The 16205-nt window shown below is 39.8% G+C and overlaps 1 protein-coding gene across 23 annotated transcripts in view, besides 1 other annotated feature; it reads left to right on the top strand.

Annotated features, from left to right (window-relative positions):
• Positions 1-16205, top strand: part of EPB41L2 (erythrocyte membrane protein band 4.1 like 2) — a 223899-nt gene that overhangs the window by 195018 nt on the left and 12676 nt on the right. For 17 of the 23 annotated variants that reach the window (NM_001350311.2, NM_001350308.2, NM_001350304.2 and 14 more), the window contains 4 exons: positions 647-769; positions 2594-2692; positions 4510-4590; positions 9985-10097. In NM_001350311.2, coding sequence (NP_001337240.1) covers positions 647-769; positions 2594-2692; positions 4510-4590; positions 9985-10092 — 411 coding nt within the window. In that variant the 3' untranslated portion in view covers positions 10093-10097. The remainder of the gene's footprint in view (positions 1-646; positions 770-2593; positions 2693-4509; positions 4591-9984; positions 10098-16205) is intronic. The other 6 variants (NR_146620.2, NM_001135554.2, NM_001135555.4 and 3 more) reach the window with 3 other exon arrangements.
• Positions 4385-4679: an enhancer, noted in NCBI's record as "tiled region #2744; HepG2 Activating DNase matched - State 5:Enh". NCBI's record gives its function as "activates a minimal TATA promoter and a strong SV40 promoter by Sharpr-MPRA in HepG2 cells {active_cell/tissue: HepG2}" and the evidence as "EXISTENCE:reporter gene assay evidence [ECO:0000049][PMID:27701403]".

Here is a 16205-nt window from a genome sequence, read left to right as displayed (position 1 = left end):
TCCTTTCTGAAAATGGTGTGTCTGTTAACAATAAGGCAGAAAAGGTATTGTGGGCAGAAGAACAAATCTTAGCCTACCTAGCTGGCATGCCAGTTAAAGGCAGTGAGCCTTCACACAAACTATGTGGTCCTTTAAATTATAATAAAAATAGAGACAAGTCACTTCACATAGTTCATTCTATTTTCTTTTCAATTTATTATTACTTGCCCAAAGCTAAGGAGGGAGGAGGAGAGAGAGAGAGAGAGAGAGAGAGAGTGTGTGTGTGTGTGTGTGTGTGTGTGTGTGTGTGTCACTATACACTAGGCTTGACATAAAAGTAGTTTGGGACCATCTTAATTTAAAGAGTAACATAATTTAGGAAGCCATCATGTCAACTTATTTTTCATATATGTGTATGTACACATACACACATTCATATATATGTACGTATCTATGTGCACATGTATGTATGTGTATATATGATATATTTGAAGGAAAATTTTTCTTTTATTTCTTTTGTTTGTTTTAGGTTGTTTGCTTTTACTCTTTTCTTTTGTGCATGAGTGTGTGTTTGGATATGTTTCTTACTATTATTTGTGAAGGTTCCATTAAACACTTTTACTTTATTACCTCTAGAATTTATTTTTCCCTTCCTTTTCCACCTCAGCCACCAGTGGTAAAAACAGAGATGGTAACAATTTCTGATGCCTCACAAAGGACAGAAATCTCCACCAAGGAAGTCCCCATTGTCCAAACTGAGACCAAAACCATCACATATGAGTCTCCACAGGTACAAAAGCTCTAGACTTGGACTGTTCGAGCTCTTTTTTCCCTTAGTGTATCTATGTTTTCATTCTTTCTTCTCTTAGTTTACATGTTTCTGGCTTTGATGTAGCTTTTTGTATCTGCACTTTGTAAGTGTACTTCAACAACATAATTTGCTATGTTCTCTTAGATTGAGACAGAGAGCTGCAATTAAATTGGTAACCCAGTAATTATAGGGGAACTGTACATATGATTATTTAGGACAGACAGTATCAATCTTGTTCATATGATTGAAAGCCATTTCTGAGTTGACATATCTAAGAATGTTTGTGTACACTTAGGAAACAAATTGTCTTGCAAAGTTTATCTGATATAATTCATCGATTAATAATAATCCGATCTAATTGTGGATGTGATTTAGGCTTCTTTCCCTCTCTAACTCCGTGAAGATTGACCCAATCAACTCATTCTTGCTTGTAATAACACACATACACACACACACACACACAAACACACACAGGCACACACACCTGTGCTTCTCCTTCGTGTGGAATTATTTTCTAAAGACCTATGTAGTCATTCATATGTGAATGGTGATACCATGTGTCTAAATAATTATCAGATTTGTGTGTTTGATTTTAGGTTTTCACACATTGGTTCTGTAAAGATTTGGAATAAGCATTAAGATGTTTAACCTTAAGAATAACAAAAAAAGATAAAGCATTCATGATTTCAAAATAGAATATAAAATAAATATTTTCTCCACTTAGAAGATGAACCTTCTGTGGTAGAATTGTATCATGGTGGAGGATGTCAGGTTATTGACCTCTCAGAATATTTTTTAAAAGGTTTAATGCATGCATGTGTGAAACACATCTGAAAATTATTTTGGATATGGCATCCTTGTGTGTGCCTTGATCCCACATAAGCACAAATAGGTTTCTTATGAACAGCTTGGCGGGGGAGCATTAGTGATGTGTCTGTGCTGTGATAAGTTGCCAGAATGAAGACATACAGGTGCATGACCCAAGTTTGAAAGAGATTTCCTCTTACAGTCAGAAAGGCTCTGGACCGTCCAGTTATTTCCTCGTGTCAGTGTCAGGAAACAGAGGGCAAATATGTTTCGTGATCTTAACATAAACTGTTAGGCTATTAATTTGCTTCATTGATTCCCCTTGGAAACTCTAGAATCTTCTGCATCTTTCAATATCAAAGCAAACAAGTTAAAATCTATTTTAACATATGTATGGGATTTATATATATGTAGGAGCACATGCGTATGTGCAGTATTGAAATATATGTGCCCGTATATATGCTCACAACATGCAAACTATTACAGGAACAATGTAGTTGATGAAAACAATCGCTAGAGGTAAGCAGATAACCAAATCATGCAGATTCAGTTTGTCCTGGTCAGGTTCTGTTGCTTGGTAATTTGATAAAATGTTTATCTATTTTTACCCACCTGTGCTTAAAAAACAACAAACTCAGCGCTTCTGGTCACTGTGGAAACTTCTCTGCCTGGCTCTCTAGTTTCATTTTCTAGCTTGTGCAAAAGTCCTTCAGACAAATTCTGTCATAATTCCCTTGTAGCTTTCAGTCCCACCTACTATGTCCATTCTCCTCTCTTTTCTCCACTCACACAGTTGAGTTTGCTTCTCCATGTGCACCTAGCCTTTTGCCTCTACTCGGTTTCAAATACCAGCCGCTCTCCTGGATGGTAATTACTACTGCAAACACGCAAACCACATGGATTTTAAAAGATGCATATTCGATGGGGCGGGGATCTTCTCTGACAACATAACAGAAGTTAAGCATTACTTTGTATTTTTCCCCCAACTATCCAAAGATTGATGGCGGGGCTGGTGGTGATTCGGGCACGTTACTGACCGCACAAACCATCACATCTGAGTCCGTGTCAACAACGACAACCACACACATCACCAAGGTAAAGCAATGCAGGGGATCATATGGAGAGGATGGTACATTACAGACAGAATCTTTTCTGAATTGTTTCTCTCTTCCTGTACACACTTCCAAGTAAGATACAGACAGTGCCAGCGGAATCAAAATGCCTTGGTTTAAAGTATCCAAGAAATTAGGCTCCATTGACAAATGCATTCAAGCCAAATTGCAATTTTGTGAAGTACAAGGGGGTAAAAATATGTTACGAATAGCTATATGTAAGATAGCTACAAAACCATAAATAATTTAATAAAATTTATAATTTATAAAAACAAACTTGTGCTTCTACTTTTATTAAACCAGCCCTCCTGACTAAAGCGAATGAATGAAGGCCATCATTCAGAATTTTCAGCAAGTTGTTCAAATAATGTAGAATTTCCCTCATTTAAGATCGCTAGTATACTGATTTGGGGCATTCCCCTGTTCCTCCCTGCATAATTCTCTAAATGTTTAGCACTGGGTAACCAGTCATCCCTGGATCAGCAGCATCAGCTTCACCCGGGGCATTGTTAGAAGTATAAATAGCGTGGCCCCACTCCAGTCCTCCTGAAACCTTAGAATTGTCTTAAGAAGCTTCCAGTGATTCTGATGCATGCTGAAGTCATCAGCTTTCTAACTCCAGCCTTATTTTCCACTATTTCCTTCTTCTGTTTTTTACTTTGGATAAGTGTCTAAAGGTCTTAAAGGTGTCCCTTGTGCCCTTCCCAACCCATGTTTCAACAACAATTTAAAAAACAGCAAAAGTAATTTGTAAATTTAAAAATGCCGCATAAATGCAAGGTACTGTTGGTGCTCATTTTAAAGCATATCCAGTTATTAAGCATAGTGATAAGCCTGGTTTGTTATGGTAAAATGCTGTCACTTGTGACTGAGAGTGTACATTTATCAGAGTTGTAAATGTTGGATGTGCGCTTTCCCAGGACCGTGTGGTATTTGCTTATTGACTGTTTAGAAGGTCACAGCCAGATGATCTCCTCAGCCTCATCCAGTGTGCCCCAGGCACTCGCAGCTTGTACGGAGCCCATAACGCTGTGAGGCAGTTCCCCCAGGAGCTCCCTCCTCCAGCCCCGCTCGCAGCCTTTGTCTAGCCATGCGCCATGTCTACGTGTATGACTACTTACGCAGGGTGTCATCAAATCAAACATTCAACAAAAATCTCATCCATCTTCCGTATCTGAAACCAAAGCAAATCCTTTTTAAAATTATTGCACTAAATGCAATAAACAAAATCAGCAAATAAATTTGTATGCTCAGAATCCATCAGTCAAAACCATCACATCATACAGAAGTCTTCTGTGATGGGAAAAAAATATATATCACATCAAACAGTTTCTCAAACCAAAAACAGATACCTAAATTCTTATAATTTCTTGTAATTCTGCAAGTAACTGATTTCTCCCTACTCTCCTTTTTAAAAATTGGCCAGCTAGGAGTAAAGAAACTCGGGAAACTATAACAGAATTCCCTTAAAGGAACTACTTGGATTAAATAATATCTGTCCTATCTTAATCAAGTGAGATTAAGATGGGACAGATGCCATCTTGAATATTGATAAATGAGTTTTAAGGTTGCTCTCAGCTGAGGGATACTTGTGGATGCTATAACTTTAGTAATAGGATTCTCTATTGAGCCTAAAAATAAAGCACAAAGTGTTTCTAGAATATCAGTCTTTTGCTGCTTGTTGTGTGTGGCCTTACAATGATCCACAGGTCTAGGTGGACTCCCATCTCTGTTTGCTCTGACTGTGTAAACGTGCTTCAGTGATTGCTGTTTTTTCTTCTTCTCCTTTATGACCTTTAGACTGTAAAAGGTGGAATTTCTGAAACAAGAATTGAGAAACGCATTGTGATCACAGGAGATGGAGATATTGATCATGACCAGGTAAATAAGTTAAGTTCTAGTTTTGGAAATGGCCCTGTTTGTTTTCTAAGTTTCACATTTGTCATCATGTCGCATACCTGTGTAAACCTCTTCTCCCCAAACCTCCTGGATGAAGTCCACCTCCTAAGCAGGACATAAAGACACAGCCTGGATACAAGCTTTCCTACCTCTGAATCAGAATAAAACACAGATTTCTCTTTATTTCCCACTGGCTTTACATGCACTTTTGGGTCAACGTAATCTGGAGGATTTCTGGAAAACATAAGATTCGTGTGGGCCTGGTTTAAAGGCAAGTGATCAAATATTTAAAAATGAATGGCAGTTCAATGCACCAGTTTCCAAAAAATGAAGAAAGCCACTAAGCTTGACCTATGCCTACTTTTAGGAACTTTTCAAGTATATTTATGGCATTAGAAAAGTTGAGCTATTTACTTCCAGGTGTTTTCTCCTATTGCGATTATTGGGGGAGGGGAGGTAATACAAGGTTTCTTACAAAGTGAAAATTTACATTGATTCTGAAAATTTTTTAAAAGAATCATGCCTCCATTCTAATGTTAAATTTGGCAGCATGCATGGCTTTGAGCAGGTGATGAATGGAACTGCTGGAGACTTTGAGAGCAGTTTTAATTTTAGACTGCAGTCCCAAGTGATGCTGACAATTTTTTTAAAAGTGATTTTAACTCAGCTTTAAAGGAGACCAAGCTGTTTTCCTTTTATAACAACTTGAAGAAAAGGAAAAGAAATATTCAATTGACTATCTCAGCTGGGGAGTAGGAGCTAACGATAGTTACACAGCTTTGGACACAATACTGAGCTCAGGAAAGAAAATTTTAGAGAACAAAATTCCTCATTTGAGAAAGGCAGCCTATATGTGATCAGAGATAAATGGATTTTTCATGCCTAAGAAGAAAATTACTCCCAATTTTTTTGACCTTTGTAAGTATGATTTGACTTACATATTCGTAATGTACTTTTAAAATTTTCTTAAGAGTTATTAGAGGTTAAAAGGTTGCCTTGACTCTGGATTTTGACATAGGACATAGGACTGGAGATTCCTAGAGAGCATTAGTACACTTGTCTGCTTACCATGGGAAAATGAGTGACTTATGTGGAAACAAGCCTCCAGTTTTCCAGAGGGGATTTATTCTACTATCCACTGGAACAGTCTTGAGTTTCGCCTGAGAAATTGGAGTAAACCTGCTTCTTTCTCTCTGGGACTCTTCTCAATAAGCACTCATTGAATTCCTAGAATATGTGAAGCACAAGCTCACATTTTTTGGCATGGTGGAAAGTGCAAACTAGGGTCTTCTCCCAGCCATTGTTTCTTCCACCCCCCTCTCCCCATTGAACCTAGGCCCTTTACACACTTTAAAATGCCACCTTTCCAGTACTCAGGTTTTACTTATGTGTATTGTTTTGCCTTTTATAACAAAAGCCAAAATAATTTTGTTATAAAAGGCAAAAGAATATTTTGGCCTGTTTTACCCCAAAATTCAAATCTAGATAGTACTGCTTCTGAAAGGCAAATATTAAAAACACAATCTGAAATACAAGTGCCAAAATAACATATACACCTGACTCTTAAAAAATCATGATGACCCAGCAGCCTTAACTGCTGCTGTTGCAAGGACAGTAATCTCCTTTTTTGTATATGATGTCATGTTTCAGCCCTTTCTAAAACTGAGGTCAGATATCCAAATGAAGAGAACAGAGATTTTGCCTTTTTATGTTTGTGAGATAGCATAAACTTTTTTTTTTTTTTTGGGGAGATGGAGTCTCCCTCTGGTGCCCAGACTGGAGTGCAGTGGCACGATCTGGACTCACTGCAACCTCTGCCTCCTGGGTTCAAGTGATTCTCCTGCCTCAGCCTCCTGAGTAGCTGGGATTATAGGCACCCGCCACCACGCCCGGCTAGTTTTTGTGTTTTTAGTAGAGATGGGGTTTCACTGTGTTGGCCAGGCTGGTCTCGAACTCCTGACCTCAGGTTATCCACACTCCTCGGCATCCCAAAGTGCTGGGATTACAGTCGTGAGCTACCACACCTGGCCAACATTTTTGAGTAAATGTGATTGTGGCTTTTGGTCTGCTTGTCACCAGAAGCTGTTGGGGGTTCACTTTCTCCTTTAAGCCTGTAATGAGATGACAGAGCTACTTTAAATTAAATGATGAAATCGCTTTGCTGTCAAAATCCGATGTTGATCATAGAGTGACCTTCATAACATTGACATCTTTTTCAGTTCCTTGCCTACGTTAAAAGGAATCTTCAGGCTGGGGGCGGTGGCTCACGCCTGTAATCTCAGCACTTTGGGAGGCCGAGGTGGGCAGATCACGAGGTCAGGAGATGGAGACCATCCTGGCTAACACAGCGAAACCCTGTCTCTACTAAAAATACAAAAAATTAGCCGGGTGTAGTGGCGGGCACCTGTAGTTGCAGCTACTTGGGAGGCTGAGGCAGGAGAATGGTGTGAACCTGGGAGGCAGAGCTTACAGTGAGCGGAGATGGCGCCACTGCACTCCAGCCTGGGCGACAGAGCAAGATTCCATCTCAAAATTAAAAAAATTAAAAATAAAAAAGGCATCTTAAAATGGAAGGACACTTTCACTGGGCCAGACAGAAAACAAGAAATCTTTTTTGTGTTGGCAAATCAAAGAGGCATGCTTTTACAGAAACTTGCTTTGCAGATTCTTCACCCTGTGCTGGTCATGATACTTTCAGCTCCATACCAAGGAGAGGTAAAATACACTGCAGTGTCTCTTCAGAGTGTATTTCTTTCTAAGAAATAATTGCTCAATTTGGCAGTAAGAGCCGGGCGCGGTGGCTCAAGCCTGTAATCCCAGCACTTTGGGAGGCCGAGGCGGGCAGATCATGAGGTCAGGAGATCGAGACCATCCTGGCTAACACGATGAAACCCCGTCTCTACTAAAAATAGAAAAAAAATTAGCCGGGCGCAGTGGCAGGCGCCTGTAGTCGCAGCTATTCGGGAGGCTGAGGCAGGAGAATGGTGTGAACCCGGGAGGCGGAGCTTGCAGTGAGCCGAGATCGCGCCACTGCACTCCAGCCTGGGCGACAGAGCGAGACTCCGTCTCAAAAAAATAAAAATAAAAATAAAAATAAAATTTGGCAGTAAGATGTGATGTTTTCTCATAATCCTTATTATTGCCATAATAAATTAACATTTTACAGTATTTAATTTTGCATGCTGATATTATGGAATGAAAGGAGTTTTAACAAACTGATTTTGAATGTGTTTCAAGATGACTGTAGCAGTTTTTGCTTTTCCCAATCTTTCTGTGAATTAGAGTGTATTTCATATGTGTTGCCTTCCCTTGGGCATCATCTACATTTTCTCTTGAACAGTTGCCCTGCTTTATTGTAGGCAGATCTTTGTAGATCAGATACTCAAAGTATTTGATCATTTGTCTGTAGCTACGTTTGGCTCCCATCAGAGCTTGTCCTTGTCTTTGACTTTTCCCAGTGTGGACTGCACAAACCAACATGTAGTAAATGGCTTGGATCATTCCAATCTCCTTCCCTCTGAAGACACACACAAACACAATGTAGAACTGCACCCCTGTGCCTCCTCTCCCTTTCCTATTCCCATTCCAGTCAACACGTTGAAAAGCTTCTCTGCCCTTCCCTGGAACCAGATACCTGCTCCCACTCCTGCTCCACGCTAGCCCTCCAGCCATTCACTCTCCCGCCTTGACAAACACTTCTGCTACTGCCCAGATTGGAGTCTGGTTCCATGTTTTATTTCTCTATTGTCCCAACACAGGTCACTCACAAGAGTTTGTTCCCTGGTGGAAATTTAAGCACCCTCAAATGTCTTCCAAGTTTCTGTGCAAAAAATTTTCTGTATGAAAATGATGTCTTTTTTTTTTTTTTGGTAGCTTTACCTTTTTTTAAACGAAACGAGGCTTAGGGTTTCTGTTTAGTATCCTTACAGCTGACAGAAACTATCATGCAAACAAGAAATGCAGTTGTCCCCTTAGGCAGCTGACAGCAAAAGAAAAAATTGCATGGCTTTATTTCAAATGCAGTTTCCTTATGAGATATGGTATTCTCTGTCCTAGTAAAATTTTCTCTTTGTTTTAGCATTCTTTCCTAGACTTTTTTTTTTTTTTTTGAGACAAAGTCTCACTCTGTTGCCCAGGCTGGAGTGCAGTGGTGCAGTCTTGGCTCACTGCAGCCTCCACTTCCCGGTTCAGGCAATTCTCCTGCCTCAGCCACCTAAGTAGCTGGGATTACAGGCGTGCGCCAGCCAAGCCTGGTGTTTTTAGTAGAGACTGGGTTTCACCATGTTGGCCAGGCTGGTTTCGAACTCCTGTCCTCAAGTGATCGCCCGCGTTGGCGTCCCAAAGTGCTGGGATTACAGGCCTGAGCCACCACGCCTGGCCTTTAGAATTCTTTCCTAGACTTCAAGGGTTCTCTGATGTTTTGTTTTCTCACCCATACTTTAAAAACAAAATGAGTAATAATTAGGAAAGCTATTTTCCTCCTCTGAAAAATAGGATCTTTCCATTGTGCCACAACACTCTTACAGTTTACTTTCTGATAAAACACAGAGAAACTTTGCTTTCTTACCACGTGGTCCAAGGAAGGACCATAAACCACTGGAGTCAGCCCTCTGGGTCCTCCCTGCTCCTATCCTGCTGCTCACAGGCTGGATGGCCTTGAGAAAGACCCATTAATCTTTGTGCCTGCAGTTTTGTCAACTGTCAAATAGGGACCTGTATTTTATAACCTGAAGATTAGTCAGTCTCTGTTCTTTAGCTTTACTAATTGTATGTTGTTGCTACTGCTCTTTAGTTCTGTGTCTTAGAGGTTTATAGACATCTTTCCTGCAGTCTTTTAGTTCAGCAAACATTTTAGTTCAAACAATTACTGAGAGCCTAAGAAGATAAAGATGAGCAAGGCCTGGTCCTCTGCCTTGCAGTTTCAGGCAATTGGGTGACAGCTAGTATCACCTGAATGTCTAGATCAGGCACTGTGCTGGCTGCTTTACAGCATTACTTTAGTTCACACAGAAAACCTTAAAATGATCGTTACAACTCTGCATTAGTCTCAGGTTACAGGTAAGAATGCTAAGCTCCAAAGAACTGTTTTCTCCAAATCTCACAGTGAGTATAATAAGCCTGGGATTCAAAGCCAACATGTTTCCTCTACGTGTCATTATTTGAAAGTGGACTGAAGAATTGGGAGATTTAGGAAATGAGAAGCAGTCTGTAAAATGACAGTGAACCCATTTCAAATCTTCCTGCTTTCTCAAATACAGAAGTGAGTGCCTCTTGGCTTGAGGTTGGGTCCGAGGTGATCAGTGTGTGTGTGTTTTGCCATTGTGAGGTGGAGGCTGTTCCCCAGCTCACAGCCGTTCTCTGTCCTGACCCTGGCAGGCACTGGCTCAGGCGATCAGGGAAGCCAGAGAGCAGCACCCTGACATGTCGGTCACAAGAGTGGTGGTACACAAAGAAACAGAGTTGGCTGAGGAAGGGGAAGATTAAGTAAGGTAAGAGAGCCCTCATTGTCTGTGGCCTTTCTAGTGACTGCTCTGTACTCCTGAACTTGTGAAAGGATGTGAAATGAAAGTTCATATCAGTGTCTTCTTCCTATAGTACATTTGACTTTCTAGACTGTTATCATCCCCAGGTGCATCTGCTCGGGTGTATATAATCTCTGTGAACTGATGGTCATGTGGTGTCAATAACTCTGATTTATTGAGGGGCTGCTAATGATTGACATTCATATATTGCTTTACTGTTTATCAAGCACATTACTGTAAGTTACATTAATTAATATTCACATTGACCCTTTCTGGAAGATGCTATTAACCTTCTTTGGATGAGAGATTTTTATTGTAGGAGAGATAAGAGGGAGATGAGCTGATTCCACCTATCTCTACTAAAAACACAAAAATGAGATGGGCATGTTGGTGCATGCCTGTAATCCCATACTTGGGAGCCTGAGGCAGGAGAATCATTTCAACCTGGGAGGCGGAGGTTGCAGTGAGCCAACATTGCGCCACTGAACTCTATCCTGGGCAACAGAAGTGAGACTCCATCTCAAAAAAAAAAAAAAAAAAAAAAAAAAGATACATCTGAGAATGAACCAGAAAGGAAAAGATTTCTTTGACTGTGTAAAAATGGAAATAAATACTTCAGTTAAGCCAATAGAAACAAAAGCAAAGGATTAATAAATGATTAAGTTTAATGTGCTTGGCAGAGAAAGGAATAGTATCCTGAGTATATTAAGAACTCTACTGTGTCATTAAGAAAATTTAAACACTTTTGTAGAAAAATGGGCAGAGAATTAAATGAGTAAACTATGTGCAAACTAAAAGATCAATAAACAAAAAATGTGCAGCCTCACTATTACTTAAATCAATGCATACTAAAAACTCAGTGGACAAGTTTTCACCTATAAATTTGGCAAAACTTATGTTTTTAATAGTGTTGGGAAGGCTGCAGGAAATATATACTGCTGTATAAATTAGTAATATTTTATGGAGGACAATTTGACACAAATATATCTAAAAAATATCCACATTAAACATGTCTACCATTAAACTACTTATAAGAATTTATCTTAATCAGAAATATATACAAATATTCACCTACAAGGGTATTTGTCACATTTTAATATTTATATTTGTATAAATTTATATTTGCTAGTATTAGTAACAGGCAAAAGATTTACACACCCTGAAGAGAAACCAGAGTATTATATTTGCTAGTATTAGCCAAAAAAAAAATTGAAATAATCTAAATGGTCAAGAGTAGGGGATTAGTTAACACATTATGCTGTTTCCATGTGATAACTAAATCTTGATGAAGTGGGTAAATGTTTATAATTATCTATTAGGGCTTTAAGAAGCAGGTCTTATCACACAATAACACATACTAAGATTACTTTCTGTTGTTAAAATAATCTGTATGTTGAACAGTCAATAGATAGGTAACCCACAGGAATGGCTGGGTCACAGGTTACACATTTTCATTTTCTACCTTGCGTGGCACAGCCACCTGCTGTTGCATCCACTAGGAGGCAAGGATTCCTACCATTTTACAGCTGCCTCTCTGACTTTTTAATTTTTGCTAGTTTGGTAAATATGTGTAACTGTGATTATAATTCTCACTTTCTTCATTAATATATTTTCATATGGTTATTAGCCATTCTTGTTTTCTCTTCTATGAAAATACAGATGGCCAAAAACTTCAAAACCTTAAATGCTTGTTCACCTCTCTTGCCTGCTTTTGCTTTCATTCTTTCTTTCATTGTTAATTGATTCTTGATAGATTCTACATACTGATCCTTTGTCAATTTTATATGTTGCAAATATCTTCAGGCTTGTGGTTTGTCTTTCATTATTAAAATAGTTGAATAGGGTTAATATTGTTGAATTTATCAAGCTTTTCCTTTATGACTTATGTTTTTTCCATACCCCTAGGTGATAAAGATATTTTTTATGTAGAAATTTAACATTGTTTTTCATATATTCTTAATCCATCTGAAATCATTTTTTCTAAATGATGAGAAAGTTTCCTACATAAGTAGCCAGCATTCCAGCACTGTATTGAAGAGCCCTTCTTTCCCCCATCTCATCTGCAGCATCCTATATCAAGTTTCTTATGTGTGGGGGTGTTTCTGACACTATTTCTATTGGTCCATGCGTCTATCCCTGCTCCAGTGCCAGAATTACTATAACTTTATAATGGGTCTTGATACATGGTATGCATGTCTCTATCCCCCTGCACCCCCTCCCCCCACCACCGATAGTGTTCTTTTTCTTCATTCTTGGCTCTTCCTGTTACATACAAATTTTAGAATCAGATTGCTGTGTTCTAAGATTAAATCCTGCAGTACTTCAGTTGGCATTGTATCTACTCTGTAGTTCAATATGGGGAGAATTACATCTTTTTAATATTGCCTTCTTTTCCTTGAACATAAGATGTCTCTATTTGTATATATCTTCTTTAATGTCTTTCATTAAAATTATATAGTTTTTTAATCAAATGAGGTCTTACAAATCTTTTCTAGCTTTTGCTAGCATAGAGAGATACAGTTGACTTTTCTATATTTATCTTATATCTAGCAACCTGACTCTTCATATCTGAGATTCTATTTTAAACACAGGGTATATAATGGGCCCATAAGCAGAAATCATTAACAATTTTAGTAAAAATAAAACATCCAGTGGCCTGAGTAAATGTACTGTGCTGTATGTGGATATTGATCTTTTTATCTTTGAGATGTATTTCCCTAATGGTTTTATTTATTTTTTATTTTTTTGTGACGGAGTCTCGCTCTGTCGCCCAGGCTGGAGTGCAGTGGCGCAATCTCGGTTCACTTCAACCTCCGCCTCCCAGGTTCAAGCAATTCTGCCTGCCTCAGCCTCCCAAGTAGCTTGAATTACAGGCGCCCACCATCACGCCCAGCTAATTTTTGTATTTTTTAGTAGAGACAGGGTTTCGCCATGTTGGCCAGGCTGGTCTTAAACTCCTGTTCTCAAGTGATCTGCCTGCCTCGGCTTCCCAAAGTGCTGAGTTTACAGGCGTGAGCCACTGTGCCTGGCCCCCTAATGGTTTTATTTATTTATTTATTTGAGACAAAGTATCCCTCTGTCTCCCAGGCTGGAGTGCAGTGGTGTGATCTCAACCCACTGCAACCTCTGCCTCCTCGGTTCAAGCAATTCTTCTCCTTCATCCTCCCGAGTAGCTGGGACTACAGGCGCTCACCACCACGCCTGGCTCCTAATGGTTTTAAATAGGGAAGGCTAAAAGCATTCTTACTTAGGAGTCAGAAGGCTGAAGGCTATGTTTTCATCTTGCCAGATATCCAACTATATTGACATTAGGCAAGTCAGTGAATGGTATGATCTACCTTTCCTAACTCATAGGACTTATTCTAAGGATAGAATAAGATAATGAATGAGAAAAGTGAGTGTTATACAAACATAAGGTAATAGCACTGGATGTTTTTTTCTCTAAATTTTATGAATCAGTTGCTTCTTAATCAGGAATACTAGCAAAAAATTGGTGACACTCTAAGCGTTACCAGTAGCTCCACCTTCACTTGTGGCATTTTAATAAGTTTTTAAATGAATTCATTGTATCACTTATTCCTAGCACCTTATGTTCATTTTTACAATGGACACACACAGACACACACACAACTTTTGAAGTTTGCCCATCTCAGAGGCTAACTTTTATGAGAAGCCTTGTTAAACAGATTTAGGAAGTTAAAGTATAAACTTACATATAAGGTGAACAAACTAGATAAATTTGGAAAGATTCATTCATGCATTCAAAAAGTATTTAATGAGTGCCTAAATGTGCTAGGGTAGGGCTGGGTATTGAGGATTCCGTGATAGACAAAGCAAACATGGTCCCCCTCCTTGGCAGAGAGGATGTGCTCCAGGAAGGTAGGTGTGAATATTAACAAATGAACAAAATGTAAATGTGATCAGCCCTCTGAAGGAAATAAAATGCTATGAGAGAACAAAATAGGAGACTTGAACTATCATAAATTTAACCAATTTCCTTTAGAAACCAGTTTACTTGAGAAACGAAGTTTGAGTTTAAAATCTGAAGGATGACTAGGAATGACCTCAGTGTCTCAAAGTCATTTTGGCATCTCCACCCCCCACTGGCTGCAGCTCACTCTTAAAAAATTTCCTTTGCTGGTGACTGTCAGATCTGGGAAGAGTGTGTTTTCACTGCTTCAGCTACTGTCTGGCTGCCCTGCCAGAATCCCACAGAGGCAGCAGGTGGGCTGAGGCAAAGAGCAGGATCAGGACAATATCGGAATGTCAAAAAAGAAGGGGAACTGTCTGCAATGTATCTGCTCCGTCTCCCTTTTTCAGGCACATAAAGCTCTCCTCCTGACCTGATCTTGCCCTTTGGAGTAGCTCTGAGCTTTTGATCAAGTGTTGAAAGTAGGGGGAGGGGAGAGCAAACAGAAAGATGGTAAAAGAACAACCTGCAGAGGACGAACCTCCCAAGTCCACCTTTCTCAGTGGATGGCAGCCAGCTGTGAGGCAGAGAGGAGCTAAATGCAAACCCCGTTAAAAAGAAAACACACTTCAGATGAGGACTTCACTAAATCTTTGTAACTTTTTAATGTCCTTTCAAGGACTACTCCCTCCTGCCGGCTTAGCCCAAATGCATATTTATGAGCCCTCACATGGATGAAAAATATTGCTGACCTTATCACCACTGCAGTGGTATTCCCAAACGGTCCCGATCAGGAGGAAGAAGGGTTCCAGGCTTGGTGGTGTGATCTGTGTGGTCTCAGAAAGAATGAGCCACAGGAGAGGGAGCTCTCCCAACCCAGACTTCACAGGAGCCTCTCTGACTCTTAGAGTAATAATTGATGTCAGGTAAAAAAGTGAATGAAGCCTCCTGTTCATCCAAAATCAGTGAGCACCTGAAGGATGAAACGACAGAGGAGTGGCTGCTCATCCTTTCACTCATCCATTCATTTATTTGTTCATTGCATAAATATGTATGGAATGCCCACTGGGTATCGTCTGCTGTTTTCCCATGGAAATATCAAATAAAATAAGGTCTGCTCTTCAGACAATAAATCAGTGGTAGCAGAAGAATTTCAAGTTTTGTGATAATATTCTGAACCTCGTGTAATGGGAACAAGAAGGAGAGACCTCTGAATCAGAATAGAGCATCAGAGATGTTTCACTTAAGCTTCGTGCTGGGTAGGAGTTAGCTCTGTGAAGAAGGAGTAAAGGGGGCCATTCCAGGCAGGATTGGAAGCATTGAACCTGATGCTCCAAGAACAGTGCAAAATCAGATGTAGCTGGATTGTGGGATACTTGTAGGAGAGCGATGGAGATGCAGGAGGAAGGAGGCAGAGGCCCAATGTTAAGGAGTCTTCTAAGCCAAGCTGAGGAGGCTAAACTATCCTGAAAGTGATGGGGTTGCTCCTCCTGTGTTTGAGAGATGGTAAGGATGTAACTTACCTTCTTTGTGACTTGTTGACGGTCAGCATGAGGCTGTGGAAGTTAGTGCATTGGGAAGATGGGAGCAGAGGAGAATCACACATCATATTTAGGTTTTTGGCTTGGGCAGGGAGTTGATGTTGGCACCTATAATTTGAATCGTGCAATACATGAGTTTTGTCTTTTGCATGTCATGGCCACGTTACTATGGCTGGTCTTCTCTGCTTGGCTACCTTAAAGCAAAGGTGTATTTTTGGTTCTGCGGTACTGCCGGAGAGACCAACTGTCATGGGAATTCTGGAGGAAACTTAGAAATGAATCTATAAGGCCCCATCTTATAACATGACATGATTAATTGGAAGTTTTCTGGATCGTCTGCATGTTAAGAGGGAGCATAGGATAGCAGATTTGCTGGGTTCATATCTACTTCTTAGTTGTTTGACCTTGGCTGGTCTCATCCCTTTGTCCCAGAGCTGTCATCTGTAAACTGGGGATGATAATAGAAGCAGAAGGGCTTGTTTCCAAGGCAGGTTGTTAAGAACTTTTTATAACTTACAAGGTCGGCCATGAACCCTTTTTGCTCTTAAGAGTCCAATAAAAATGAGAATTTTCTACCCCAGAGATAATGAGTTTGAGATGCATGTGAAATGCAGAAATGGCACA

Source organism: Homo sapiens, chromosome 6 (genome assembly GCF_000001405.40).
Source record: "Homo sapiens chromosome 6, GRCh38.p14 Primary Assembly".
In the NCBI taxonomy this organism is placed as follows: Eukaryota; Metazoa; Chordata; class Mammalia; order Primates; family Hominidae; genus Homo; species Homo sapiens.
This window is presented reverse-complemented; position numbering and strand designations above follow the sequence as displayed.